Source organism: Homo sapiens, chromosome 11 (assembly GCF_000001405.40).
Source record: "Homo sapiens chromosome 11, GRCh38.p14 Primary Assembly".
Classification (NCBI taxonomy): Eukaryota; Metazoa; Chordata; class Mammalia; order Primates; family Hominidae; genus Homo; species Homo sapiens.
Window position 1 is genome coordinate 19,388,070 of NC_000011.10, and position 27,600 is coordinate 19,415,669.

The window sequence follows — 27,600 nt, forward strand, 5'->3', positions numbered from 1 at the left end:
AATCATAGAAGTATAACTAATTTCCTAGGAGATGAAACCTTGAAAACTCCAAGAAAGAAACGTCAGACTTTGGGATGGAAGGAACGGGGTCAAGGGATTTTAGAAACAATGTGCGAATCTTTGTATGTTTTAGAATACTTTGTGAAACCGTGGATTATACAGTGCACATTGGAGTTCCTCAGGATAATGGACATTTATGACTGTCCTTGCAAACCCATCGCTCATCTCTGAAAAGACTTTGCAAGAACCCGACTGTCCCAGCTGTTCCCAGTCCCAGAAAAAGCAGCTTTATCTCAGATGTCTTGAGTCCTGCTTCCTCACAGTGGAGCTTCATTGGAGATGTTTAAAATTTGCCTGCTGATTCTCTTTCTTATTCTAAAGATTTTAATTGCTAGGAATTAAAAACACCCATGTAATACATATTCCATCTGAGAATCTGTTTTTCTGAACTTCCTGTACTGTAATCTTCACAGAAAGATTGAACTATAAGATGAATGGGGATTTTGGCTGGGAGGAAGTCTGAGAGGGAGTGGGTGTGATGGCGGATTTTGGTGGGTTTGGAGAAGGTGCTTGACCCCGAATGCTGCTTTCCTAGAGACTTACGAAATAAACGTTAGCAGTGTAGGTACGCTGGGCAAGATAATATCTGTGAAATCTTATTCTGTTGTAGGTATCACCCCTAAAATTCACGATAGCCATAGTTTATTGAACACCTACTATGCACCATGGACTTTGGATACATTGTCTATAATCCCTACAACAATCCCATCAAACAGGTGGTGTTCTCCCCATTTACAGATGAGGAGGCTGAGGTTCAGAAAGGTTAAGTACCTATCCCAGGCCACAGCACTAGCTGTGATGCCGGAATTTGAATCCAGACTCTTTTAACTTCAGAGTTAATGATCTCCCTACTCAGTCTTCAATAGTTCACTATGAGCCAAGCTCATTTTTGGCATAACATTCTGGTTTTTTACCAGCCTCCTCTCTCCGGCTATGCTTTGTAATCTAGCTCACAGCTGTCCCCATATCAATACTCATTTCCCTGATGCCTCCACTGATGGAAGCAAAACTCATAAACTTGTCTCTCTGTGATCCACTGGAGGGTGAGCAGTGACTGGCTTGCTGTCCATCCTGTCTGCTAGCAGTCAATCCACCAGGTTGTCAATTCACCAACATTGGATAAATAGCTACTATGCACAAGACAGGGCTCTAGGCCACAGGGAGGTAGAAGCCTTTAAGATAGAGACTTCAGTCTTATGGAGACAAGCAAATAAATACATTTACCACTTACCTGCACATGCTAAGTTGCATATTGGAAGCACGATGTTCTTTCCCAACGTGTCTTATATTTCAGAGGCTGCTGCAATATATCAGAAAGGGCACATAATTTGGACACAAAATGCCTGGCTTTGAATCTTATTCTCCCACTCACCAGATTTGTGATGCTGAACAGATCCTTTTCCTTCTTTGAGTCTCAGGATCCTCATCTGGACCATGAAGATCAAGGACAGTCATCACACAACAACTCACAAGGAGTTGTGCCTCACTGTGTTGTGCCTCATAAGGGTTACATGCCATAATTTGTGTGAATGGTCGGTGCAGTGTATGTATGGCACACAGTAGGTACTTTTAAAATGTTTATGGAACTGTGAGTCTTTGGTGCTTTACTATTTTAAACCTTGCTGTTCCCAGACATCTCATGTGTGTTCCTGTGGCTGGCCTAGGCCTCTTGAACTTCCCTGAAATTCTCTCGCCCAGCCCACATTGCTAAGCTCTTCATGGTGAAGGACTGGCCAGGTTCCTACATTGCTTCTCAGCTGTCAGCTGGTCAGACCAGGAAAACTGTGGCCTCAGTTCGGAGGCAGAATCCCTCTGCCCTCTATTCATGGCCCAGGCTGCTCTGTGACCCTAGCCATGTGATATTTTTGTTCTTTGGCTAGAGTTTTGTAATCTGCCCCATTTGTGCAAACATTCCAGGAAGGAATTGTTTGTGTAGGCTCATAAATTTGTGGATGGTTTACATGTGAAGCCTGATTGCATGATAATCTCCTGGGGCGCAGTGTCCATTCCAGGATCCTCACCATGGTCATTGCTTTATTTTGGGCCCAGCTGTGTGGGTGCTGGTGGACTGATGCTGTGATGATTCTGTTCTGGTCTCCTTGGACTTGTTTTCTATACCCTCTCTGTGGCCTTTCATGATGGATAGTCCTGGGCCCACAGTTTTCTGTTTCTCAAGTCTTTTCAAGCAGAGATCACCATATCCTTGCCTCAGCTTTTGAATCCCAGTGGATGACTCCCAGATCTGCCCTGAAAGCCTAATCCTGCTTCCCTGCCAGAAAAATAATAACAAATATGAATCTGGTCCTTTTGCAAACATTCATTGAGTTCCTATTATGTGCTAGCCCTTGGGATTCAGGGAAATTCAGGGTGAACAATATAGGCAAAACTCCTGGACAGAAGCAATAAACAAGTAAGATAAATAAATAAATCATAAAGTTTCAGTTGGGGGGAATGAAACATCAAACCAAATGGTCAGGGAATAGAGTGATTGGGTTGATGGATTGTCTCATAACTGATGACCCCTCTGGTTTGCCTGCTATGAGGAAAGTATAGTAGGGTAAGTGGTGAAGGGGAGGGGAGGGAAATGGTCAGGAAGGCTTCTCTTGGGACATGACCTCTAAGCAGACCCTATATGCTGAGAAAGAGCTGGAAGATCAGGGGAAGAAGAAGCCAAATGTACCAGGAGGCCCTGAGATGGGAGTGGGCTTGGTCAGTGTTAGGAAAGGCTGCCATTTATTGTTCAATAACTACTTGCCAGGCAGTGTGCCTAGTTCTTAAATGCAGTATCTAATTGATCCTATGAGCTCAGTGATAACACTATCCCTTCCAATTACTCAAGAGGTAGGAGCTACTCTAATTCATTCCTGTCTTAAGAATGAAGAAGCTGAGAGGCAGAAAAGATAAATAATTTGCCCATAGGTATCCCAGGCCAAGTAAATGAGGGGCCCAGCATTTCATGGGAGTCACCGTACCCCAAAGCTTTCGTTCTCTAGTGATCATTGCTCACACTGCCTCCTGCTGCCCCGGTCTCTCATTCTGATTAAACCTCACCTCTGGCCTTCACTACCACTCACCTCCAAGGGGCACCCCTTCCCTGTCAGAGCCCCTCTGACCTGCCTCTGGCCTGTCCCCCTGCTTCACCCTTAGCTTCCATTCAGTTCTGTGTTAGTGTCTCACCTCTGTTCCTTCCCAGCTGCTGTTTCACCTGTTCCCAAAGCCCACAGCCTGGTTTCTACCACCCTGTCCACACACCTTTTCCAGAAGAATTGTCCTTACATATGACTTCATCATCACCCTCGAGTTAAACCCCCAGTGAGTTCTGATGCTCTCAGTTTCAAAGGAGATCAAGTATTTTAAACCTTATCAATGACACTGAGAATAATGTCCCCTTACATTGGAGGAGGATGTTGAAGTGGGCAAGACGTTCACTGTTAATGTGTCCCTGTAAGTAGCAGGAACAGTGGGGTATGATTTTAAATTTGGGTGTTGCTAGTGGCACTGCTGTAGGAAAGTTATAGTTCTTTTAATGCCTGTTAGTCTGGTGTGGGGCAGTGGGGGAGGGGCAGGAACTGGGGGGGATGGATTTCATACTGTGTGTTGTAACAAACACTGGAGTTAAATCTCAAGTGTGACTTTTCTTTTTGAGTTTGTTCTTCTCCAGTGTGTCTAGAATACTGACTGACAAATACTTAGGACAGTACCATGCACATAGAAGATGCTAATATTCGTTCCCCTGCTGTGTCTCCACCCATCAGCTCAACTCGCAGGGATTAACCAGCTCTCCTGTATATGTGTTTATTTTAATGTGACCATCACTGAGAAAATTATACTTAAATGAAGCTAAAAAATAAATAATGGTTACAAATCATAGTAAAGGAAGGAATACATTAAACTCCTGACTAGAAGGCCTAGAGAATGGAGAGTTTGGATTAGTGGTTTCTAGGAACCAAGGATTAATCAGACTCTCCTTTTACTTTGATGATGGAGAATCAGACTTGAAAAGTAGTATGGAATAGTGGGTATGGGCATACACTTTGCCAGCTGCGTTCAAGTCCTGATTGTGCTCATTGCAAACTATTTGAGGCATGAATTAATCAATCCAAGCCTTGATTTTCTCATCTGTAAAATGGATAGAACAACAGTTTATTTCAGGCATTTATTGCTATATAACAAACCACTCCAACACAATGACTTAACTCAGTTACATATATTTTGTTCAGGAATATACAATTTGAGCAGGGCTCAGCAGGGTGATTTTTTTTTTTCTGCTTTTTGCTCCATTCAGCATCAGCTGAGGTGACTTGAAGCTGGAATCATCTGAAGGTTCTCTCACTAACATACTTGGTGGTTGATGCTGGCAGTCAGCTGGGCTACATGTGGCCTGTCCGTGTGGCCTGGCTTTCCTTACAATGTGGTTGCTGGATCCAGGAGGGAGCATCCTGAGAGCACGAGCAAGCCAGGCAGAAAATGTACTGCCTTTTGTGACCTAGCCTCAGAAGTCACTCAGCATCACTTCTCCAGCATTCTGTTCATTGGGAGTGAGTCTGGAAGGCTGGCCCATATAACGGGGAGGGATATTAGACTCTTGATGGGAAGGGTGGTAAATAATTTGCAGCCATGCTTAAAACTGCCACATAGTTCCTACCTGGTCAGAGCTGTAGTGAGGTTCAAGTGTGATCTTGCAGTAAATCCAGGCATAGTGCTGGGCACACAGTTACAAGAGCAGCCTTAGGAAGTATGTTATCTTTCTTATTTACAATTGAAGTGACTGAGACTCTGAGGTGATACGTGACTTGCTCAGATTCCCAGTGAGTGCCAGAGCAGGGATTTGAACTTGCTTATGGCCTCCCTATGGGTCTTCCAGAGGCTAGCAAACAGTACTGATGTCACTCAGCATTGTTGGTGCGTTGTTCCCTGGTGAAATATGCTATGCCACTGGTCACAGGCAGAGATCTGTGAATTGGATGATCTAACCCCTGCAGCCTAAAGTCATACTTCCCCCTTTCCCAGACTGTCCATCCCTCTTTTCTCTTTGAAAGAGGGCTTATGGGTTGATTACCTGGGGACTGTAATATTTTGCTTTGCACTGCCCATCCTGCCATGGGAATGACACAGTAAGACCACCAGTTTCATTCTTCTCATGCTGTTGACCAGAAGGCCTCTGATAAAGGTGCCAGACAGGCCTATATGCCATTGAGCCCAGTGCCTGCTGGGAGGCTTCTAAAATATGCTGGCTTGCTCTGGAAGCTTCTGTCCTCTACTTCAGCTGTTAAGTAAATTGGTCTGATCTGTAGCTTTAAAATACTTCCATCCCATTCTACTTGCTGTGCTCCATTGATTTAGAGGGGAAGCTGCGGATCCCTTTGTCTGTTGTAAAAGGCTTATAAAATATGAGCTATATCTGTACTATGAAATTATATGTGTGACAATAAAATATATAGTTTTTGGAAACAAACAAACCTTGACAAAATGTGTTTTAATTTTGCAACGGAAATCGTATCAGCTGTCAAATTAAAATTTATTTTTCCTCCTTGAAATGAAAAGTACCTTTTGTAGACAAAAATCTAAGGAAAAAGACAATGTAATTGGACATACCTCTAGGCTTTTTAATTTGGATTTTCTTCTTTTTTCTCTCTCCTCTGTGCCTGGTTATTTTTCTTTCCTAGTAGCAATTTGCTCGCCTTAAATTTGAAATGTACTGGCTGCAGAGCCTTTTGGCTCCATATTATTACTTCTGTTCTAAAAAGAGATTTTATAACTTAAGGGTTTTTTTTTTCTTTTTTTTTTTTTAGGTCAAATCTCACTTCTAAAAGTGTGAAACTCATGTAGACTGTTGTATCAGAAACTTCTCTTTCCATTTGGAAACTGTAAACCTGGAACGTTTTCAGAGGCAGCAGTGTTGAAGACCTGCTTTACTTGGGGGAGGCAGTGAAGTGAGAAGTCAAAGGAAACATCATAGGTCTCTTCTGGAAGCTAAACTCTGAGCCATTCAGCATGGTTTCATTCCCATGGATTGCATCATAGCCAGGAAAGTCACTGAGTCTCCTTAACATCCTGGATGCTTTTGGCCCAATGGTGTCTCATGATTTTACTGTTTAGGGATAACTTTGGGTCCTGGGAAAGAGGGTATTTCCCAGTTTCTTTCTATTTCTCTTTTAGGTATAGACAGTACTTTTATAATGGGGAAAAAATGCTTTGATTTAAAAAGGAAAACCACAACTCCAAAAGAGACTGTTTCCAGGGTTGTTGGGCATTCATTCACTCATTTGTTTCTTTAGCCAATATTTTCTGGACACTTACTATATTCCAGGCATACCCATGCTAGACTCTGGGCGCATAGTGGTCAATGTAAGGAGCCAAGACTCTGGCACACAATGGTCAATGTGAGGAGCGATGGCTCTTGTCTTCTCAGAGCTTAGAGTCTTGTGGGAGTGACAGCAGTAATGATAGGGCCTCACAGACATGGCACATTCAAACAGGGATATGATGACATGTCTAGTGGGGAAGGAAAGTCCCAGGCAAGAAGGTGAGATAAAACTTCCCCGAGCTGAAATCTGCAGGCAGAGTGAAGTTGATGAGTGAAACAGGAGAGAAGAGTATCTCAGGCAGAGGAAACAGTGTGGGTAAAACCCCAGTGAGGTGGGGAGTGGTGGCATGAGGGCCTGAAAGAGGTTCAAATGTGGCGGGGATTGAGGCCTCATCACACCACACAGGGCTGCAGCGCATGTTCAGGAAGGATGTCCTTATCTGAAAACCAACCAAGGAATGGCTGAATGTAACCTGCAGTGTGTGTGGTTAACCAGTACATAATCCCGTAAAGCCCAAAATGCAGGAAGTCACTGAGCTGCTAAGCCTCGCTTGTCAGAGGCAGGCCTTTTTCAGTCTGTGAAATGGGAACATTAGCAGTGCCAATGACCTTCCAGGTGGGGACAGCTTTGGGTTCACACAGTATCTTGAAATCTTCTGGTGCTGTGCTTTGGGACCAATGAGGAAGAGTGAGACTGTGTTCCCATGGACATACCTGTGAGCATGTGCCCATGTGCACGTGTGAGGCCATGGCTACACCTGAGTGGGCGCATGCTGTGCGTGTTAGTGCATTCACATTCCTGTTCATTGTCATGCAGATATTTGTCAGGGAGAGAAAGCCCCTCATTGGGCCCACACATCTGCTACCTTGGATAGCACTTGTTCCTCTTTGCCCCTACATTTGTTCAGTGTGCATTTTGAAGGCCTCCTTTGTGCAGAGTGCTTGGGATGTAGAGAGGACTCTTGTTTCTGACAAAACTGCCCCAGTCAGAGCCTAGTCTGTGGAGAATGGCCAGACATGGTTGAGGCCACCATTGTACAGGGCAGTACCTGTAGCTTGTCTTTGCTCAGAAGCAGGTGCATCTGCCCAGGTCCTGACCAAGGAGACATCATCTTTGCAGGAGTCTGAACCATGCAGGCGGCTGACAGACCTTCCCACTACTGTCCTCAGGACAGAGGAAGCCCTCGGAGTGGACAGCGGCTGAGCCACTAAACTTGCTACCGGTTTCTGGATGTCTCTTGGGAGCAAACCAAGCACACTGATGGCTCTGGGATTGATTTCAGCCTCTGTCCTTGCCACTGGGCCTCTTCCCGCCTCCCTTCCTCATGGTCTCTGATCCTCTTTCCCCCTCTCCTCTGCCCCTTTACATGCTGAGCCCCTTTACTAGGGCTATGTGTAGACATGTTCCTTCAATTATAAGAGGTTCTCTCTGATTACCAGAGCTATCAAAAAGTAGACAGGATGCTATTCCTGTAGCAGAACTGAGTCTCTGTCCCAGCCTTGCACTTCCTTATGGAGTATAATCTAGGAGAGTTTTGAGTTGGCCTCAGGCAGGACTTGGGAATTTGCTCATCTTTACAATGGGTGATAATGCCTACCTCCTGGGATTTTGTGAGCATTCACTGGGATAATGCATATGAAGTACCTAGAGCCCTGCTCAGCATGTCCCAATAAATCCCTAATAAATGATGATGGTTGTTGTGAATAACCAGTCTCAGCAGCTATGAAAATACAGAGGAGAGAGGATGTCTTTAAATCAGCAGAACAACTGGCATTTAGTAAGCACACCTAGTACTACCACTGGCTAGCATTTGAGCACTTTGTAGCCAGTAGCTGTCTATACTATTATCCAAGATCGCATGGTGAGGAAGTACGGAGGCAGGATTCAAACCCAAGCAGGGGCCCAACATGATGTGTGAGACCAGGACTCAGCCCAGTGGTGTCTGCCTTAGGTTGGCGTTTAAAGTGTGACTAACATACAACCCATGAGGGTGTCTACACAGTGTGCATTTTCTGTGAAGAGGTACCACATTATTTAGAACGCCCTATCTGTGTCCTTCTGCTCTTGTCTGGGGCTCCCCTATGGCGGCCACACTATGAGATCCATGAAGTCTGTTGCATCTCCAGAAGGAGCATGTGCTCTTTCTGTCCCCTGGCACCTCACTGGGTGGGGAGGTCTCAACAGTACGCTGGTTCTCGGGCCCTGCTCTCTGCCAGTGCATCCCTTCTTAGGTGTTCACTGATAAAGAGGACTTGGTGAACATTGATGGAGTGGTCCGTGGGGCCTCCAGTTCGTATTTGGAGTGGGATCCAGATATTTGTGTGGCAGTGGATACTGTGGAATTTGATGCTTATTTAAACTCCCACAGAGATCTCTAGTAATGTAGAATTTTCACTTTCCAAAAGAATCCAAAAATACATGCTACCAGGCAAGGCATCCTTCATGACTGCTACATTTGGACTTAGATATGGTGGATTCCCTTAAAGTGAGGCTCATGTGTATTCACCGGAAGCCTCTTCCTCTTTTTATGGGGACCACTGAGGAGTGAGGGTGTAATGAATGTATCTCTCCCTTGCAGTTCCCTGTGGCTCTGCCCTGGATGAAGCTTGTAAGGGACACGTGGTCTTGAGTCTGTTCTTCAGATATCATTGATAGAACCAGGGGTGGTTGGCATGGCCGGGAGAAAACCCAGAGGGCTATGGGGACTATTCTTAGCTGCTTAGAGGTCCCCATAAAAAGAGGGAACTGATGTGTTTAGGGCTGTCAAAAGGATTAAACTAGGGCTATGGGTAGGCATTTTCCTTCAATTATAAGAGGGTTTCTCTGATCATTAGAACTATCTAAAAGTGGACAGGATGCTTCCAGAGGTAATGATCTCTTTCGGTTTTGGAGGGACACGAGTCAGGACTGGGTGACCACTTAGCAGAGCTACTGTGTAGAGAATTGGATTCTCTGGGGAGTGTGTGTGTGTGTGTGTGTGTGCGCGCATGTGTGTGTAGGGAATACTGTTCTTGTGTCTGCCTCCTGAAAGGGGCTGTAAACACCTCCTGTAGCTTATCAAACTGTCACAGTGGTTACCTCTGGTACATGTGTTTATGGATAAGCTGGGTAGGGGAGGAGGTACATCATCTTTACATTTTATTATTATTTTTGCATGTATATTTAATTTGAATTTGTCACAACAAACAAGTATTGGTTTTATAATGAAATATAGGTTAAAATTGCACCTTGAATAAAAATGGCCTCTAAATTATATGTCACAGAGAAAAGATCAGCTCTTAAGAGACCTGGAGACAAGCTTCAGCTTAGCTGCTCTCTTGCCACATGGCTGGGTGAGGTACGTCTCCCCTCTGGGTCTGAGTTTTCCCATCTGTAAACCGGGAGGACTGGACTATATATGCTAAGCATAAGCCCATACAGCTCTGAGACTGGCTGGGCTGCAGTAGGGGAGGGGAAAAGAGAAAAGGAGAAAGGGCAGCAGCAGTGCCTCTGTGTGATGGGAATAGGGATAGTAGCTGGCATTGCTGTATTCCAGAAGCCTTGATGCCAAGAGGGATGGCCTTTGGAGAAACAGACTGGGGAAATGGCACTGCTGGCTTCCCCCGCGTATTAGATCATTCTTGCATTGCTATAAAGAAATGCCTGAGACTGGGTAATTTATAAGAAAAGAGGTTTAATTGACTCAATACTGCAGGCTGTGTAGAAAGCATAACTGGCATCTGCTTCTGGGGAGGCCTCTGGAAACTGAAAATCATGGCGGAAGGCAAATTGGGAGCCTGAATGTCACATGGGGAAAGCAGGAGCAAGAGAGAGAGAGCAAGGTGCCACACAGTTTTAAACATCCAGATGTTGGAGAACGTACTCACTATTGCTAGGAGAGCAATGAGAGGATGGTGCGAATGCATTCATGAGCAATCAACCCCCTTGATCCAATCACCTCCCACCAGGCCCCACCTCCAATACTGGGGATTACATTTCAACATGAGATTTGGGCAGGGACACAGATCTGCATGACATCACCCTGCATTGGCCTGTCTCTGTCCCTTTAAACATAGCTGGCTTTCCCACGTACCATGCTTCAGCCACCACAGAGAACCTGTGGTATCAGCCCCGCTTACACTCTGGCTTGTTGGTCCGCCAAGCCCCTGCTATGTTCCATTCACCCTCTGCTCTCATGAACTTCTGACCCCTGCCTTCATTCTCCAACCTTCTGGGTGTCCTTCCCTAATTTCCTGAAGCTCAGTTTCCCTTCTGACTCTCAGTTCTTGCTCAGCCCCTTAATTATGACTTGACCCATCATTTGGGATTAAAAAGCATTCTGTTAATCTCCTGCTCCCAAGCAGCAGCCTGCCCTGCTGGGGATCCGGGCCCCTCCTTCCCCCCACAGACACACTCACAGCTAGTGGGTGCACAACATTTTTGGACGCAGCCTCAGCTCCTAGCAAACACTTTTCCTGAACTCAGGGTCACTGTTGCTTAAGTCGCAGCTGGAGGCTGGCTTCAGAGCACATTGATTTTTCCCAGGGCTTTAATAATCCTGAGCTTCAGTTTGCCTATTGGCTCTTTTGTAATGCATCAGCCTCATAAAATGGTCACTTTCGGTTAAAAGATCTTATTACTGCAAAAAGAGATGTTGAATCACACTTTCAAGGTCTCTGGTGAAATGTGATCTTTGAGACTTGTTGGCCCTGTTCCACGGCACGAGAAAGTGGATATTAAGAAGATAAATTAGAAGTCAAAACACAGTTCTGTGTTCCCCTGTGTCTTAGGCTGAGTGTCCGTGATGAATTTTGCAAGAAAAAAATCAGAACTCCCTCTACCCACGCTGCACTCCCTGCCACCTTCAGAAGTCAGATTCTAACCTGGAGAGTCAGCAGCTCTTTATTTCAGCTCTGACACTACCAGTATGCTAATCTCCCTGGGCAGTAATGCAGGCGCCTTCCTTCTCTCCCACAAGTCAGAGATTGGATGTACTCCTTAGCTGTCATATTTTGCAATTCTGTGCAGCTCAGCAAATCCTTATTGATCAGTTTTCTCTGTACAGGCCCAGTGTAGGTGGACAGGGGACACAGAGAAACTGGAGAAGGATCCTGCCCTCAGAGCCCACAAGCCTACAGTGTGGGAGCAGTGGACAGATGGGGGTCAGAGCCCCCTCATGCCCTCAGTACTGCAGGGTTAAGATGGCAGACCCTGTGCTAAGTACTTAATGTGTATTATGTCATTGATCCTCAACTGTAATTGCTATGATCAGCTTCATTTATGATGAGAAAACTGAGGCTTAGAGAGATTAAAATGCCCAGGGCCAGTGGTGAAGCTGAGATTGAAACTGGGTAGGTCTGCCTGACTCTGAAGTTAGCTAGCCCTTTACCACATATAGGGTGCTGCCCCTTCTGGCACCCAGATCGTTGGTGGGTTCTCTGATGGGATGGCTCTAGGAGTACGGAAGAGAAGCCCCTTACCCAGCCTGGGGTCAGATGGGCTTCAGGAATAGATTGTTGGAAGTGATGACGCTTCAGTTAGGTCTGAAAGACTGAGCAGGAGTTATTCACAGTTAAAGGCAGGTGGGAGGAGACTATGAGAATATGGGAAAGAATGAAGAGGTAACAGCAGTTACTATAAAGAGCAGAGTACATTTGGGAAGCTGTAAGTCTTTCGGGGAGTTGTGGGGACTGGGAATGTGTAGGAAAGTGTGAATAAGGGGTAGGCAGGAAAAAGACTGAATGCTTCCTTACAGCAGAGACAAACCTTATAAGCTAGGGATCAATTCAGTAAGAGCTTTGGAAAATCCGACGTGGTGTGAGACATAAGGAGTCACAAGGAAGAGGAAGATACATTATCTTCATCAATGGAGTGAGGCTCCATCTCCCTGCTATGTTCCAGGTAGAACCTCTGGTGGTGGGCTTTGCCAATTCCGAAGGTCCTAACCGTGTGATAAGGAGGCATTACCCTGGCTTTCCCATCTGTTCCAGCTGGTACCTTCCTTCAATCTCCTGGAGTCACATCGGTCCCTCTTAGCAGCCAGCTTGTGTGCTGTCCACCATAGTGCTAGGAAAACAACACAGGAACTGAAGCCAGGTGGACTGAGTTTGAGTCTTAGCATCAACTCTGGCTAATTGTATGGCGGTGAGTAGGTCATTCACCTGCCTAAGTCTCCTTCCTTAAATGTAGAATAGGGATAATGACTCTTAACTCGCATGTCATTAGAAGGTAAGAATTAGAATTAGAAAAAGGTACCCTTCTTCAAGACACTACTGTCATCTTCTAGCCCATGATGTGAACAGTGACCCCTAGGGCCATGTAGGATGCTCATTATCTATTGCATAAATGATAGCTGCTGCTATTATAATCATTATCATCATCTTGATGGAAAATGGCTCCAACTTGACCTTTTGGTGGGTTAGTTGGACCAGCCTGATTAATTCAGATTTCATCACAGAAGGGCAGTTCTAATCTGACCAGCTAGTATGTAATTGTGGCAACTGGTAGGGGTGAGCCGGGAGTCTTGTCTTCTTATTGGAGCTTTTTAGCATTTGGTGTCAAAAGCTGAAGGTCGTCAAAACATTGGCTCCCTCTAAATTATTGTGCTGCCAGAATAACTCCTACCACAGAGCAGATTGTCTCCAGCCATTGGAGATCAAAATAGAGCCTAATGGATTTAGGAAACAATCAATGCTCTCAGTGCTTCTAGAGACGTTTGTGGGTTGTAGCCCATAAAATATTAATTCTTTCTATTTGTCTTTAAGAATATATTTTATATGTTAATGCATTATTGAAAGATACTTATAATATTAAGTGACTTAAGACAAAAGCATTGAATGACCAAATTTCTTTTTCTTTGGGATATTCATGTAAAATATAAAGACAAAACCAAATACCACTGACTGCGCCAGCAGCCACGAATTGCCAGCCTTGGAATCCAACTGTACCCCTGTAAAATGAAATTGTCTTATTGGTGTTGATAGGTAAATAAATAACTTATGTATGGCATTTGGCATTTCCCACCTAATAAAATGTTTCACTGTTGGATTTACTGGGCACATTTATGAAATCACAACTGTGCAGCCAAGCTTTATTTGGCCTTAGACATTAGAGCGAGACAGGGATATGTCTGGATCTTCAATGTACAGAACGATGCAGTTGAAGGAGGAATGATCGCAAATCAAAGGAAGAAAGGGTAATCCAGAAGATGCAGGGAAAATTATTTAAGATGGACTCAGGATTCACCCACTCTGCAGGGAGCACTATGTATACATTTGCATTCTTCTGAGCGTGAGCATGTGGCATATTCCATACAAAAGCACACAAGATATGTTTCTCGGTATATTTCATGGAACACTAAATTCTAGAAGGAATAATTTCCTGCACTCCTTTGGGGCCACAGACCACTCTGAAAATTTAATTTAAATTGCAGTGCCACACTTAAGAAACATGTCACATTCACGTGCACACAAATTTCTCCCATCCAAGTACTAACCAGGCCCGACCCTGCTTAGCTTCTGAGATCAGACGAGATCGGGCGCATTCAGGGTGGTATGGTCGTAGACATGCATGCACACAAATTTCTTCATGTGATTTCTAAGGGTCCCTCATTCCCTACATAAGACATTGGACTCTGATCTAGTCCAGTAGTCTTATTTTTAACTCAAGAATGCTGAAGTCCAAAGGGGTAGTGGCCCACCCAGGGTCACACAGCTCCTGACACATCATCCTAAGGCCACCTCTCTAGATGGTAGGAGAAGGTGTTCTCTTAGCAATGTGCTGAGGAGCATGGACTCTGGAGCAAGACCACCTGGTTCAAATCTAGGTTTGCTACTTACTAGTGGCTTGACTTTGAACAAGTTACTTATGTTTCTGTGCCTAAATTTCCTCATGTGTAAAATAAGGATAACAATAGCACCCACTACATAGAGTCGTGGTGATTATAAATGGGCTGATACATGCAGAGCTCAGTGCTTTGAAACAGCGAACACTTTGTAAGTATTAGTTTCTATCACTATGTGTCTAGAGCAAGGTCCCCTGCTATATGCTTTTGTAGCTCTTTTTGTATATTTCCTTCACAGTCTGTATTTTTACCCCTTCATTGCACTTATAGTGTAATTTATATAGCTTTTGAAATTTTTTCATTTATTTGTTTGCTTATTTTTTATTTATTTGAGTGTAAATAGATACTGCTTTATCCCCAGTACCTGGAACAACCCCTCGCACATAGCAGGCAATCAATAGACATTTATTGGATAACAGAATGAATGCAGGAATGAATAGTCCTTATTATGATCTGTCCATGTATACTCTTGTGATTAAGTAGCATCTGTCTCCATGTGAGCATTGCTCACTGTAGTTACCTCTGTCTCTCAGCACAGCGCATGGCACATTGTGGGTTCTCAACAAATATTTGTGAACTGAATGTATGAGTAAGGAGCAGGAGAGAGTAAGAATAACAGAAAGAACATAGAGATAAGAGGGAAAAGGAGGAGAAAAAAGAATATTACTTAAGGTTCAACATTCATCCCTCATCCATTCATTACTAATGCAATCGGGAGTGGCGGTGAAGAGCCCAGACTCTAGAGCTGGGCGCAAACTCCAGCTCAGCCACTTATGTTGTGTGAATTTGGGGCAACTTATTTAACCTCTCTGTGATTCTGTTTCTACATCTGAAATATGGGTTGTTAAAAGGTGATGAGTTAATCTCTGCCAAGTGCTTAGAACAGTGACAGGCAAATAGGAAGCACCCAACAGATGTCAAATATAATAATCATTTATTTGTTAAACCAGCAGCCACTTATGAAGTATCTACCGTGTGCCAGGCCCTTGCTGGGTGCTTCAGATACATAGGAAAACCAATACACTTTTCTGGAGTGGAGGTCAGCATGCCCCAGGGGAGATAGCAAAGCATACCAACAATGATACTCTAGTGCAATAACAGGAGATGGCAAGGGGCATAGAACCGGCACTCTTGCCAGGTCTGGGTTCAAGGTAGGAAGACACGTGGAATTTCCCAGAGAAGGGGGCTTTGAACAAAAGCTGCAGGTTAGCCTAGCAAGAGGAATGGGAGGAAGAGCATTCCATGTAAAAGGAACAACTTGTTCAAAGATAGGGAGGCATGTAGCGGCACACGATGTGGGGATCAGCAGACAGAATGGGATGCCATTTGTTCATTTAATTCATTCTATCAATGTTCATTGAGAGGCAACAATGTGTATGGTAGGCACTGTTATGTGCACAGAGATAGTGCAGAGAACAAAACGGGCAAAGTCCTTGGTGTCATGAAGCCTCTGTTCTAGTGTGGGAAGGCAGTAAATAAACAGGCATGGATGTCAGGTGCCAGGTGGCTACAAGTATGTGCTATGGGGAAAAATAAAACAGAGGAAGGGATATCGAGTGTGGGGTTAGGGGAAGGGGTGTTATTTTAGATGGGGTGGCCATCTAAAATCAGGACTCTCTGATAAGTGACATTTGGCAGAGCCCAAGGGAAGTGAAGACTCCTTGCGTACGTGGCTCTTACGGGGACCATGGTCCATATAGAGAAACAGTCGTCTGCAAAGGCCACGAGGTAGTAGCAGACTGGGAAATGGTGAAGAGGTGAGTCTGAGGAGTGAGTGAGGGGACAGTGGGAGAAGGTCAGGCAAAGGTGGGGGCAGATTCTGTTGGCCTTGTGAAGATAAGGTGGAGGCCTTGAGTACAGGGTGCGAGACAGAGAGGTTGGGAGCCCAATTGCTCGGGGCCCTGGCATAATCTTTGCCAAGGGAGTGGGCTTTCTTCATGGAGGGGGAGATCATGGAAAGATTTTAATTGTGAACGATGTGATCACATTGTATTTGAGGTTGAGAGTTTCTTGGAGTTCACTGGAGTCAAGTGAGGTGCACCTGGGTCACTCAGATGAGAGAGGAGGAAGGCCTGAACTTGGCAAGGGAGCAGAGCTGAATGCACGTCAGGCTTCTTGCCTACTGGTGAGTTCTCCTCTCTCCAGCACCTCAGCAGTGCCTCACTGCGAATAAGCATCTCCTCCTGAATTGAGTTGTGGGTGGGAAAGATCAGAATTCATTGGCCTATGAGGCCAATAGTGAGAAATCAACCTTCAGCTTTCTGTGGATGCTTTTATAGATATAGTTTCTGCAGCTTTAACCCTAGGTTCTGAATAGTGAGTCTTTTTTTTTGAGTATGGTATACTGCATTGCAAATCAGATTATTTTTTAAAAAATTAATGGCATCTGTCATTTTAAAAAATTGTAAATGCGCCTCTGTGCCTGCTCTCAGAAAACACTAACTCTTAATTTTTATGCTAAATCGAGTGATCACAACCCAAGAGCTCAGCAATTTTGCACTTTAAACATTTACTCTGATTTATTTCCTTCCAATGAATTCATGATTAAATTTTAAACGCACACTCCTATTCAGCAGGGAATCATAGAACGGAGGGTAAAACAACTTTTTTTTCTTTTTTTAAGTGTTAATCTGGAAGGCCTGTCTGTCTGGTCTTCAAAGCCCCACTGCCAAGTGGCTGGTTGCCTTCCCTCCTCTCTCTGTGCTCTCTGTCTGGAGTTCCAGTTATACGAGGCAGTGTACAAGGACTGTGGACCAAGGACAGAGGCAAAAGGCAGCTAACTTTCATAAATATTTTGTCCCTGGTCCGTGGAAGACAGGAATTAGTATTAACTGTCCTAGAAAAGCCCAGAATCCTGATGCCCCTGAGCGTTCATGAATAAGAAAAGGAAAACTCATTCACAAGTACACGAAGGCTGCTGGTCTTAGACCCCACCAGGCATATGCTCTGCCAAGTGAGTGGGCTCTCTTCATGGATGGGGAGATCATGGAAAGGAACAAGATCATTATTTCCCCCAAACAAATAGGGAAGCAGATGTTTGGGAGGTGCCTGCCAGATATTGATTGTTTTTCACCCAAATTCTGACATTGGACTGGCTCCCTCCCCTTCTCCTTTCCCACCTGGGTCTCTCGTCTTCCCCTTCATGATAAATGATCCCTTCCTTTCTGTAGCAGTTGCTTCTGTTCTCCACTGAGTTCTTTCCGCAGTCAGGGCTGTATTTATCTGAATACGAAGGAGTAACATGAGGCTGCTGAAAGGTGTGTGTGTCCTGAGAATTCCTCCTTCTGTATACTGTTAGAAAACCATCCGTCTCCCTTGCATACTCATGAGGTGCTTGAAAACACCACTCTGTTGAAAGACAGTTTGACACAGTGAGATTCAGACAGGCCTAGATTGAAAGCAGTATTGTCACTTCCTGACTTTTACATTGGATTGAGTTATTAAATCTTTCCAGGTCTCAGTCCCATCTGTAAAATGGGATTGACAGTACTTGCTTTGTAATATCTGTGCATGTGCCCAGCACAGAGTGGGATCAGGGAACATGATTGTTCTCATTTTCTCTCTTCTTATTAGGCCTTTGAGTAAAAGCACTGGGTCTCCAAAAAGAGCCCTGTAAAAATGCCAAAGTGTTATCTAGGAGGGATGTCATAGTCATCGCCCATAATTATCTTGGTTTGGATTGCTAATTTGATAAACAAGACAGGGTCACTGGGACAGAGTAGCAGAAGCATGGCATTGGTCGGTGGGGAAGGGAGGGATAATGTAATTTGATGCTGGATACAAAGAAATAAATACCAAAAAAGAGCTATGAGGTGCCTGGTAGGTAGGGAGAGGTGAAACGTATTGTCTACTTCTGTGGTCAGCCCAGGCTGGCTTGGCTTTTGTATTCTCCCCCCAGGTTACAGCTGGCGGGAAACTTGTGCCACCTGGTAGCCTGCTAAGCTTGTGGGAGCACACACTGTGGACTCATCCTGAGTTTAAATCTGTGCATGGCCACCTACTGGCTAGGTAAGCTTGGACAGGTGGCTCTATTTTTTCTGACCCACAGTTTCCTCATCTGCTAAATGAGGGTCCTGTCTAATAGGACGTGGGAAGACTAAACAATACGAATGGGGAAGCACCGCGCAGAACGGCAAGATGCTAAGCAAACTGTGGAGGAGAGCGTTTTCCAGAAGAGGAAAAGGGAACATAGAAACAGCGGGTGACTTGGCCTAAAGTCATGGGGTAGACAGAGCCGAGGCCATGGCTGTCTCTCCTCCAGGCTGGGCTTCTCAGAAGCTTGCTGATACTTCTCTGGTATCCCTGCCCCGCCAATGAAGTTATACATTCCCTTGAGATGGGCTCATGTCCCCGGGAGGCTCTTCCTCTTTCCCCTCATCCAGCCTTCTTTTTTCTCAATTAACTAAGCTTTTTGTTCTCTTGGAATCTCTGTCGTCACCACTGGCTTATAGAGGATCTGGGCTTCCCTGCCCCATCTCCCTATAGCCAACAGGGTCTGCTTAGTTCCCGGCCCTTGAAACTCACCCATGAATGCAGCAGCATATATTCATGATAGTTTAAGGAAATTCCTTAATATCACCTCTTCTCCTGACTGCTCCTGATTCTCTCTCACCTCTCTGACTCCAAACTTCTGGGCCACACACCAAATGCCATGCCCACTTCTACTCCCCTATTTTGGGGTAACTTCCAAACTCCCTTTCAGGAATTGTGTTTGGGACCTGTATGGCTTTTAACTTTGTTAACTCATTTAATCTCTCCTTCCTGGTGCCAGATGGAGGCTCATTTGGATGGAGGCAGGGAGGAGATGGAGGTCCTGACCCTACTTGGCAGGATGTGTGTGTGGCCCACTTAGGACAGCTGCCTCCTGCCAGTGCAAAGATTCTTTCTCTGCATATTTACTCATTCATTTCATAAATAGTTTTGAGCATCTACTCCGTTTCAGGCATTTTGCAGGGTACTGGAAAGACCACAAACAAGGCAGCCCCTGCCTCTATGGAGTTAGAATCTAGAGGCAGGGACCAAGGCATCAGCAACACAGCTAAACAGAGCCGTGCTGAGAGAGGCTGACAAGCAGCACCGAATGCCAACTTAATGGTGGTCAGAAAAGACTTCCTGGAGGAAGCCGATCTCAGCTGAGACACAAAGGATGACATGTGCAAAGAGGATGGCATGTGCAAAGGCCTACAGATATAGCCCGAGGGTGGAATACAGGTGGGAGCAGAGTTAGGTGGTGTAAGCAGGTGCGAGAACATGGGAGGGTTTGTAAGCATGCGGAAGAGTTTGACGTTCACCAGTGGACAATGGGATTTGCATTTTGGAGATATCTCTGTGGCTGCTGTGTAGAGACTGGAGCCAGCCACTGAGGCCCTGTGGTCACAGGTGACTTCAGCCTTTGGGACTTGTATTCTTTAGAGAATTCCCCACCCACCCATAGCCCCCGCATGCCCCCCTTCCAACTTGCTACCTTAAAAAGCAATCGCCAGCCTTCTTTCCCTTCCACACTCGGCATTTTGTGTGTCCCGGGCTTTGTCCAATCAGCACTGTCTGGCTTAGCGGTGCTCCCGTTCTCCGGCTGGGGCATGATAATGCGTGTTGTCCTTTGTTTCATTGTTCAAATATGTGTCTGCGATGTGGTTGGGACTGATAAGTAAAGAAAATTGTGTAGCTTAACAGCAGACATTTCATGACCTCAGGAGCCCCCCAAGATGCGTACTCCCAGCAAATTGTCGGCAAGCCCATTTATCACCGTGCTGACCTGGGACTTTGTGCACATTTCCCTATGAAAACAGCCCAGTGCCGTCAGTTCCCATCTGCCCCAATGCCACTGTAATGAAGCGAGCTTTAACTAACCCTGGTACCCACTGAGCGGCCTCATCACAAATGGCTTTCGAGATGCAGACACCTGCACGTGGGGATGCATCCTCTTTCTAATGGTGGATTTGTGTGGACATCCAATACACATTGAAGCTTTATTTATTTTTGGCTTAGGTAATTGGAGAGCATTAATTATTTATATTCCATGTTGCAAGCAGGCAGGGAAAGGGCAGGAAAGGGGAGGCTGGGAGGGGAACAGCAGACCCATTGAGATCATGGAAAGGAGCTAAAATATTCTGAACCTTGGTTACATCTGAGTAATTGTGTGCAGTCACTCCAGATAATTTTTGCTAGAAATATTGTATGTGGTTTCCCATAAACTGTTTTGTGTCTGCATCAAGGCAAAATGAAAATGTATCATTGTTTGGGAATCCCCTTGGCAGTTCAGGTCCTGCTACCTCAAAACTCATTACCCTCCATCCTCACAACTTTAGTGACAAAAGCAAACTGCAATATACTTACGCCTGCCAGGTTCTGTGCTGAGATCACAGTAAATGTTGCACTCACTTGAACCTCGCAACAACCTTGTGAATTGTCTGTTGAATTATTATCCCTATTTTACAGATGAGAAAACTGAGGCTGAAAGAGATTAAGAATTCTGCCCAAGGTCACTGCCAGTGAACGGCAGAGCCAGAATTCGAGCCTGGGCCTGGCTGATGCAAACTTTACAGCCTCTTTTTTCTGGCGGGGTGGGGGGATGTTAATACTCCAAACTGAAGACAGCCCTCCTGCCCCCGAGAACTCGGGAGTCCCACTGGGGTTTTAAGCTGCATGGTAGGATCAGGATGGAGAAGTGGATAGAGTTCCCTCTTTCATACTTGGCTTTCTTCATGAGCTGTGAAGCTAAAGGTTACCCTGTTAATTAAATGGGGGGTGGGGAGAGGGGGGCTCTTGGAGGATCAGTGGCAAAGTGACTCCAATTACGTCCTTAATGAGTATGTTAAGCCATGTAAATCACATGTCTTTTTTTTCCCCTTTGGGAACATCAGCTTCCCTTGGTGAGCAAATCATTGGCCCACCCCATGTCAGCCAAGCCTTTGGGAAACTAGAAAGATGGTGGATTTATTCTGAAAATGCAAAAGTCTAAATGATGCTTGAGGGTTTAAAAAAGAGAAAGTAAGAAAGAAAAGAATGCTTTCCTCAATCACTGGTGTTTTATGTGATTTTCAGATTTAACAAAGCATGGAGACTAATTTAAGCATTGTTTTTCTGGTCTTTCATTAACAGAACTTGATTTCTTTTTGAACCTTCTCATCACTCCCAGTCACTCTCTAAGCACTCAGCCTTGCTCTTGGGTGGTGGGTGGAGTCCTGAAGCTCTCTCTTCTCCTTCCATCTCTTGGATTTAGATAGCTCTTGGCTGCTTGGAGGGGCCTTGGCAAGGTTGAGAGGGAAAGAAGGAATGCAGCACTAGAGGCCTGTCCTTTCTAAGTGGAATGGTGAAGGCTGTCAGCAGAAGGACTCCAAGACTGTCTGGTCTGAGCGGCCGTTCATTCCTTTGGCAAATATCCACAGAGCTCCCGTGATGCTGCAGGCACCATGCCCCAGGATTCACCTTCACTATTTAATTTAGTTCTCTCCAAAACTCTTGGAGGTGGACTTATGGCCCTGTCTCCATTCTAAAGATGAAGAAACTGAGACTCACAGAGGGTGGTTACTCACTTCAGGTCACACGAATCTTCTGTTGTAGAGCTGGTATTTGAACCCAGGTCTTGTTTGACACCAAAGTTTGAGATTTTTTAATCTACCCAGAGTTGGAGAGAAATGACTGAGCACTCTGGGCTGAGACAGGCGGCTCAGGATTCAGTGGGAAGAAGTGGGAGCCCTGGCCCAACTCGGGGCTAGGAACTTCTCTGGGACGCTCTCCTGGTCTACTGTAAACAGGAGACAGGACCCCACTAGGTGAGGCCCCAGGATGTCCACAGCTTCTCCCTGCCAATCCTTTGTGGAGCTGCTTTTCCACCCTACCCATTTCCTGCCCTGCTTCAGGGGGGCAGACAGAGGTGGTCCTCCCTGAGTAATGGGGACCTTTCTGAGAGCTATAGAACATGCAGAGGCAGCCTTAACTGCGTTATAAAGGTGGCAAACTTTTTGTTTCGCTTCCTCCTCTGGGCCCTTTCCTCCCTTTCATCTTCCCTTTCATATGGAATTTCATTCTGACTCTGCTGGTTTCCATCTAAGCCCTGCCTGATTATATATTCAACACACGCTTAAATAATGTTAAGTGTGCCCTGCACTATTCTAAGCACTTTACAAATATGAATTCATTTAATCTCCATACCAACTCTACTAAGTAGCAGTTATTATCTCTATTTTACAAATAAGGAAACCAAGGCATGGAGAGGCTAACTACCTTATCCAGGGTCACGCAGTCATTATCTGGCTAAGCTGGGATTTGAACCCAGGGGATTTGGCTCTAGCATCTGTACTCCTGGCCACTACATTGTGCTGATGCTTCTGATGACTCCTGTTATAGGATATTCTCATTTTTTTCTTTGTGTTAGAAAGAAAAGCATGTAAAACATAACTAATGAAGGTATAATAGATAGAATGACATGCCATAGGAGGTAGGGACTCTGTGTGTCCTTCATGACATTCATCCCTGCAGCCAGTGTTTCCAGGGATCATGGGGAAGAAGAAGGGCAGGCTGGTGTATATACTTGTTTGCAGTTTTGAGCCCCTATTCTCAAGGCTCAGCTTGGGTTCCAGGATCAATTGTTTATTTTTTGTTTGTTTGTTTGTTTGCCAATGAAGAGAATCATGGATGTGTGCACAGAGAGCAGCTTGACATCAAATCTTTCTTTAGCTAGTCTGAAATACAGGGAACCCATGTTGTTGGGGCTAGAGGGACCCTGGGACACCTCTGTTGCATGGGAAAGGCTCCCCTATCTCCCTTTTCTTTTGCATTCCTCCAGGGCATTGGCACAGCAATTGGCACACACGGGCATGCCAGTCACCTGGAGGCCTTTTTTAAACCCAGGTTGCTTGACCCCACCCCCAGAGTTTCTGATTCATTGCAGCTAGGTGAGTCCTGAGAATCTGCCGCAACAAGGTCCCAGGTGATGCTGCTGCTCTGGGGACTACCACTGCATTAGCAGCAGGAGGTACTTCAGTTCTGGACCACCTTGTCAGCTAATTTGACCTCCTGAAGCCATTGAAAGCCACTGGGTTGTGGGGAGTTTAAATGATCTTCTAAGTACACAGACTATGTTCTCTACACCCATGCCACCAATAGCATTTCCTTCCCCTTCTCACATGCGTTTAGGTGCTTTCTCCGTTATTACAAGACCCTGGAGACACAGAGGACCTGGAGTCATTTATTTATTGTGGCTGGAGTATCTTTCTTCCACCTCCTGTAAATCTCTTCTAGCTTTCCTTCATCTGGTTGTGTCCCATTTATTATTTATCAAGAGGCTGCTATCTCAATCTCAAGGTGCCCTGAGAATGTTCTAAGGGATAGGGATTGGGGAGAGGGTATGTGGAGATTTCCTTTCCACCTGGGTGAGGAGAGGGCCAGAGATGTGACTTAACCAAGAGCATAGCCAGCTGTTGGATCTGCCCTACTTGGTGCATCTTCATTTAGATAGCCAAGGGCTATCTAAATCCAAGAGATGGAAGGAGAAGAGAGAGCTTCAATTTGTGAAGCATCTTCACAACTGGCATCTCGTTTTGGTACATCCCCATGACCCCTGGAAACACTGGCTGCACTGGGGAGTAAATGTCCCCATTACTCAGGTGCATCTATGAAGCAGAAAGGGCATGCATTTGCTATCAAGATTGTAAAGATGAAGAAATTGAGGCTCAAAGTGGTGAAGTCATCTGCCCAAGGTCACACAGCTCATGCTATAGAGTAGAGCTTGGAAAGAAAACCAGGGGTCTTTCGAGCTAGCTGCAGGTGTTTTTTTCATATCCCAGTGGCACTGGCACACCAGAGAGACAGAACCATTCACTCCCCTGGAAAGGGAGCTGAAGCCAGGGAGACAAGTGGTCTAGCTCAGCAGCTCCCACCCCCACAGAGCCCAGCAAGCTAAAATCCACTGGCTTGAAATTCTTGCTGTCAGCATAGCAGTCTGAAGTTGACCTGGGATGCTCAAGCTTGGTGGGGGGAGGGGCATCTGCCATTACTGAGGTTTGAGTAGGCGGTTTTCCCCTCACAGTGTAAATAAAGCCCCGGGAAGTTCGAACTGGGTGGAGCCCACCACAGCTCAAAAAGCTGCTGTAGCCAGACTGCCTCTCTAGATTCCTCCTCTCTGGGCAGGGCATCTCTGAAAGAAAGGCAGCAACCCCAGTCAGGGGCTTATAGATAAAACTCCCATCTCCCTGGGACAGAGCACCTGGGGGAAGGGGCGGCTGTGGGCACAGTTTCAGCAGACTTAAACGTCTGCTGAAACGTCTCTCTGAAGAGAGCAGTGGATCTCCCAGCACAGCAATCGAGCTCTGCTAAGAGACAGACTGCCTTCTCAAGTGGGTCGCTGACCCCTGTGCCTCCTGACTGGGAGACACCTCCCAGCAGGGGTTTACAGACACCTCATACAAGAGAGCACCAGCTGGCATCTGGCGAGTGCCCCTCTCTGATGAAGCTTCCAAAGGAAGAAACAGGCAGCAATCTTTGCTGTTCTGCAGCCTCTGCTGGTGATACCCTGGCAAAGAGGGTCTGGAGTGGACCTCCAGCAAACTCCAGCAGACCTGCAGCAGAGGGGCCTGACCGTTAGAAGGCAAACTAACAAACAGAAAGGAATAGCATCAACATTAACAAAAAGGATGTCCACACAAAAACCCCATCTGAAGGTCACCAACATCAAAGACCAAAGGTGGATAAATCCATGAAGATGAGGAAAAACCAGCACAAAAAGGCTGAAAATTCCAAAAACCAGATGACCTCTTCCCCTACAAAGGATCACAACTCCTCACCAGCAAGGGAACAAAACTGGACGGAGAATGAGTTTGAAAAATTGACAGAAGTAGGCCTCAGAAGGTGGGTAATAACAAACTCCTTCCAGCTAAGGGAGCATGTTCTAACCCAATGCAAGGAAGCTAAGAACCTTGAAAAAAGGTTAGAGGAATTGGTAACGAGAATAACCAGTTTAGAAAGCATAAATGACCTGATGGAGCTGAAAAACACAGTACGAGAACTTCGTGAAGCATAAACAAGTATCAATACCCAAATCAATCAAGTGGAAGAAAGGATATCAGAGATTGAGGATCAACTTAATGAAATAAAGCATGAAGACAAGATTAGAGAAAAAAGAATGAAAAGGAATGAACAAATCCTCCAAGAAATATGGGACTATGTGAAAAGACCAAACCTACGTTTGATTGGTGTACCTGAAAGTGATGGGGAGAATGAAACCAAGTTGGTAAACACTCTTCAGGATATTATCCAGAAGAACTTCCACATCCTATCAAAACAGGCCAACGTTCAAATTCAGGAAATACAGAGAACACCACAAAGATACTCCTCGAGAAGAGCAACCCCAAAACACATAATCATCAAATCCACTAAGGTTGAAATGAAGGAAAAAATGTTAAGGGCAGCCAGAGAGAAAGGTCTGGTTACCCATAAAGGGAAGCCCATCAGACTAACTGCAGATCTCTCTGTAGAAACCCTACAAGCCAGAAGAGAGTGGGGGCCAATATTCAATATTTTTAAAGAAAAGAATTTTCAGCCCAGAATTTCATATCCAGCCAAACTAAGCCTCACAAGCGAAGGAGAAATAAAATCCATTAGAGACAAGCAAATGCTGATTTTACCACCACCAGGCCTGCTTTATAAGATTCTGAAGGAAGCACTAAATATGGAAAGGAAAAACCAATACCAGTCCCTGCAAAAACATACCAAATTGTAAAGACCATTGACACTATGAAGAAACTGCATCAACTAACAGGCAAAATAACCAGCTAGCATCATAATGACAGGATCAAATTCACACATAACAAGATTAACCTTAAATGTAAATGGGCTAAATGCCCCATTTAAAAGACACAGACTAGCAAATTGGATAGAGTGAAGACCCATCTATGTGCTGTATTCAGGAGACCCATCTCACATACAAAGAAACACATAGGCTCAAAATAAAGGGATGGAGGAATATTTACCAAGCAAATGGAAAGCAAAAACAAAAACCAAACAACCAACCAAACAAACAAAACGGGTTGCAATCCTAGTTCTCTGATAAAACAGACTTTAAACCAACAAAGATCAAAAAAGAGAAAGAAGGGCATTACATAATGGTAAAGGGATCAATGCAACAAGAAGAGCTAACTATCCTAAATATATATGCACCAAATACAGGATCACCCAGATTTATAAAGCAAGATCTTAGAGACCTACAAAGAGACTTAGACTTCTACACAATAATAGTGGGAGATTTTAACACCCCACTGTCAATATTAGACAGATCAATGAGACAGAAAATTAACAAGGATATGCAGGACTTGAACTCAGCTCTGGACCAAGCAGACCTAATAGACATTGACAGAACTCTCCACCCCAAATCAACAGAATATACCATCTTCTCAGCACCACATCTCACTTATTCTAAAACTGACCACATAATTGAAAGTAAAACACTCCTCAGCAAATGCAAAAGAATGGAAATCATAAAAGACAGTCTCTCAGATGACAGTGCGATCAAATTAGAACTCAGGATTAAGAAACTCAATCAAAACTGCACAACTACATGGAAACTGAACAACCTGCTCCTGAATGACTACTGGGTAAATAATGAAGTTAAGGCAGAAATAAATAAGTTATTTGAAACCAGTGAGAACAAAGACACAGTGTACTAGAATCTCTGGGATACAGCTAAAGCAGTGTTTAGAGGGAAATTTATAGTACTAAATGCCCACAGGAGAAAGCAGGAAGGATCTAAAATTGACACCCTAACATCATAATTAAAAGTACTAGTGAAACAAGAGCAAAAAAATTCAAAAACTAGCAGAAGACAAGAAATAACTAAGATCAGAGCAGAAATGAAGGAGATAGAGACACGAAAAACCCTTCAAAAAATCAATGAATCCAGAAGCTGGTTTTTTGAGAAGATTAACAAAGAGATAGACTGCTAGCCAGACTAATAAAAAAGAAAAGAGAGAAGAGTCAAATAGACACAATAAAAAATGGTAAAGGGGATATCACTACTGATCTTACAGAAATACAAACTACCATCAGAGAATACTATAAACACCTCTACGCAAATAAACTGGAAAATCTAGAAGAAATAGATAAATTCCTGAACACATACACCCTTCCAGGGTAAAGCAGGAAGAAGTCGAATCCCTGAATAGATCAATAACAAGTTCTGAAATTGAGGCAGTAATTAATAGCCTACCAACTAAAAAAAGCCCAGGACCCAACGGATTCACAGACAAATTCTACCAGAGGTACAAAGAGGAGTTGGTACCATTGTTTCTGAAACTATTCCAAACAGTAGAAAAAGAGGGAATCCTCCCTAACTCTTTTTATGAGACCAGCATCATCCTGATACCAAAACCTGGCAGAGACACAACAAAAAAAGAAAATTTCAGGCCAATATCCCTG

At 44.8% G+C, this 27,600-nt stretch overlaps 1 protein-coding gene and 1 pseudogene across 11 annotated transcripts in view, besides 2 other annotated features; one reads left to right on the top strand and one right to left on the bottom strand.

Moving 5' to 3' along the window:
• NAV2 (neuron navigator 2) overlaps window positions 1-27,600 on the top strand; it is a 776,366-nt gene that overhangs the window by 42,834 nt on the left and 705,932 nt on the right. The window lies entirely within an intron of this gene.
• Window positions 6,909-7,440: an enhancer, noted in NCBI's record as "OCT4-NANOG hESC enhancer chr11:19416525-19417056 (GRCh37/hg19 assembly coordinates)". NCBI's record gives its function as "activates a minimal SCP1, AML or CMV promoter by ChIP-STARR-seq in naive H9 embryonic stem cells {active_cell/tissue: H9 hESC(naive)}" and the evidence as "EXISTENCE:reporter gene assay evidence [ECO:0000049][PMID:30033119]".
• RNA5SP335 (RNA, 5S ribosomal pseudogene 335) lies at window positions 13,823-13,912 on the bottom strand (annotated as a pseudogene).
• Window positions 22,201-22,310: an enhancer, noted in NCBI's record as "active region_4519". NCBI's record gives its function as "activates an Ori minimal core promoter by ATAC-STARR-seq in GM12878 lymphoblastoid cells {active_cell/tissue: GM12878}" and the evidence as "EXISTENCE:reporter gene assay evidence [ECO:0000049][PMID:35858748]".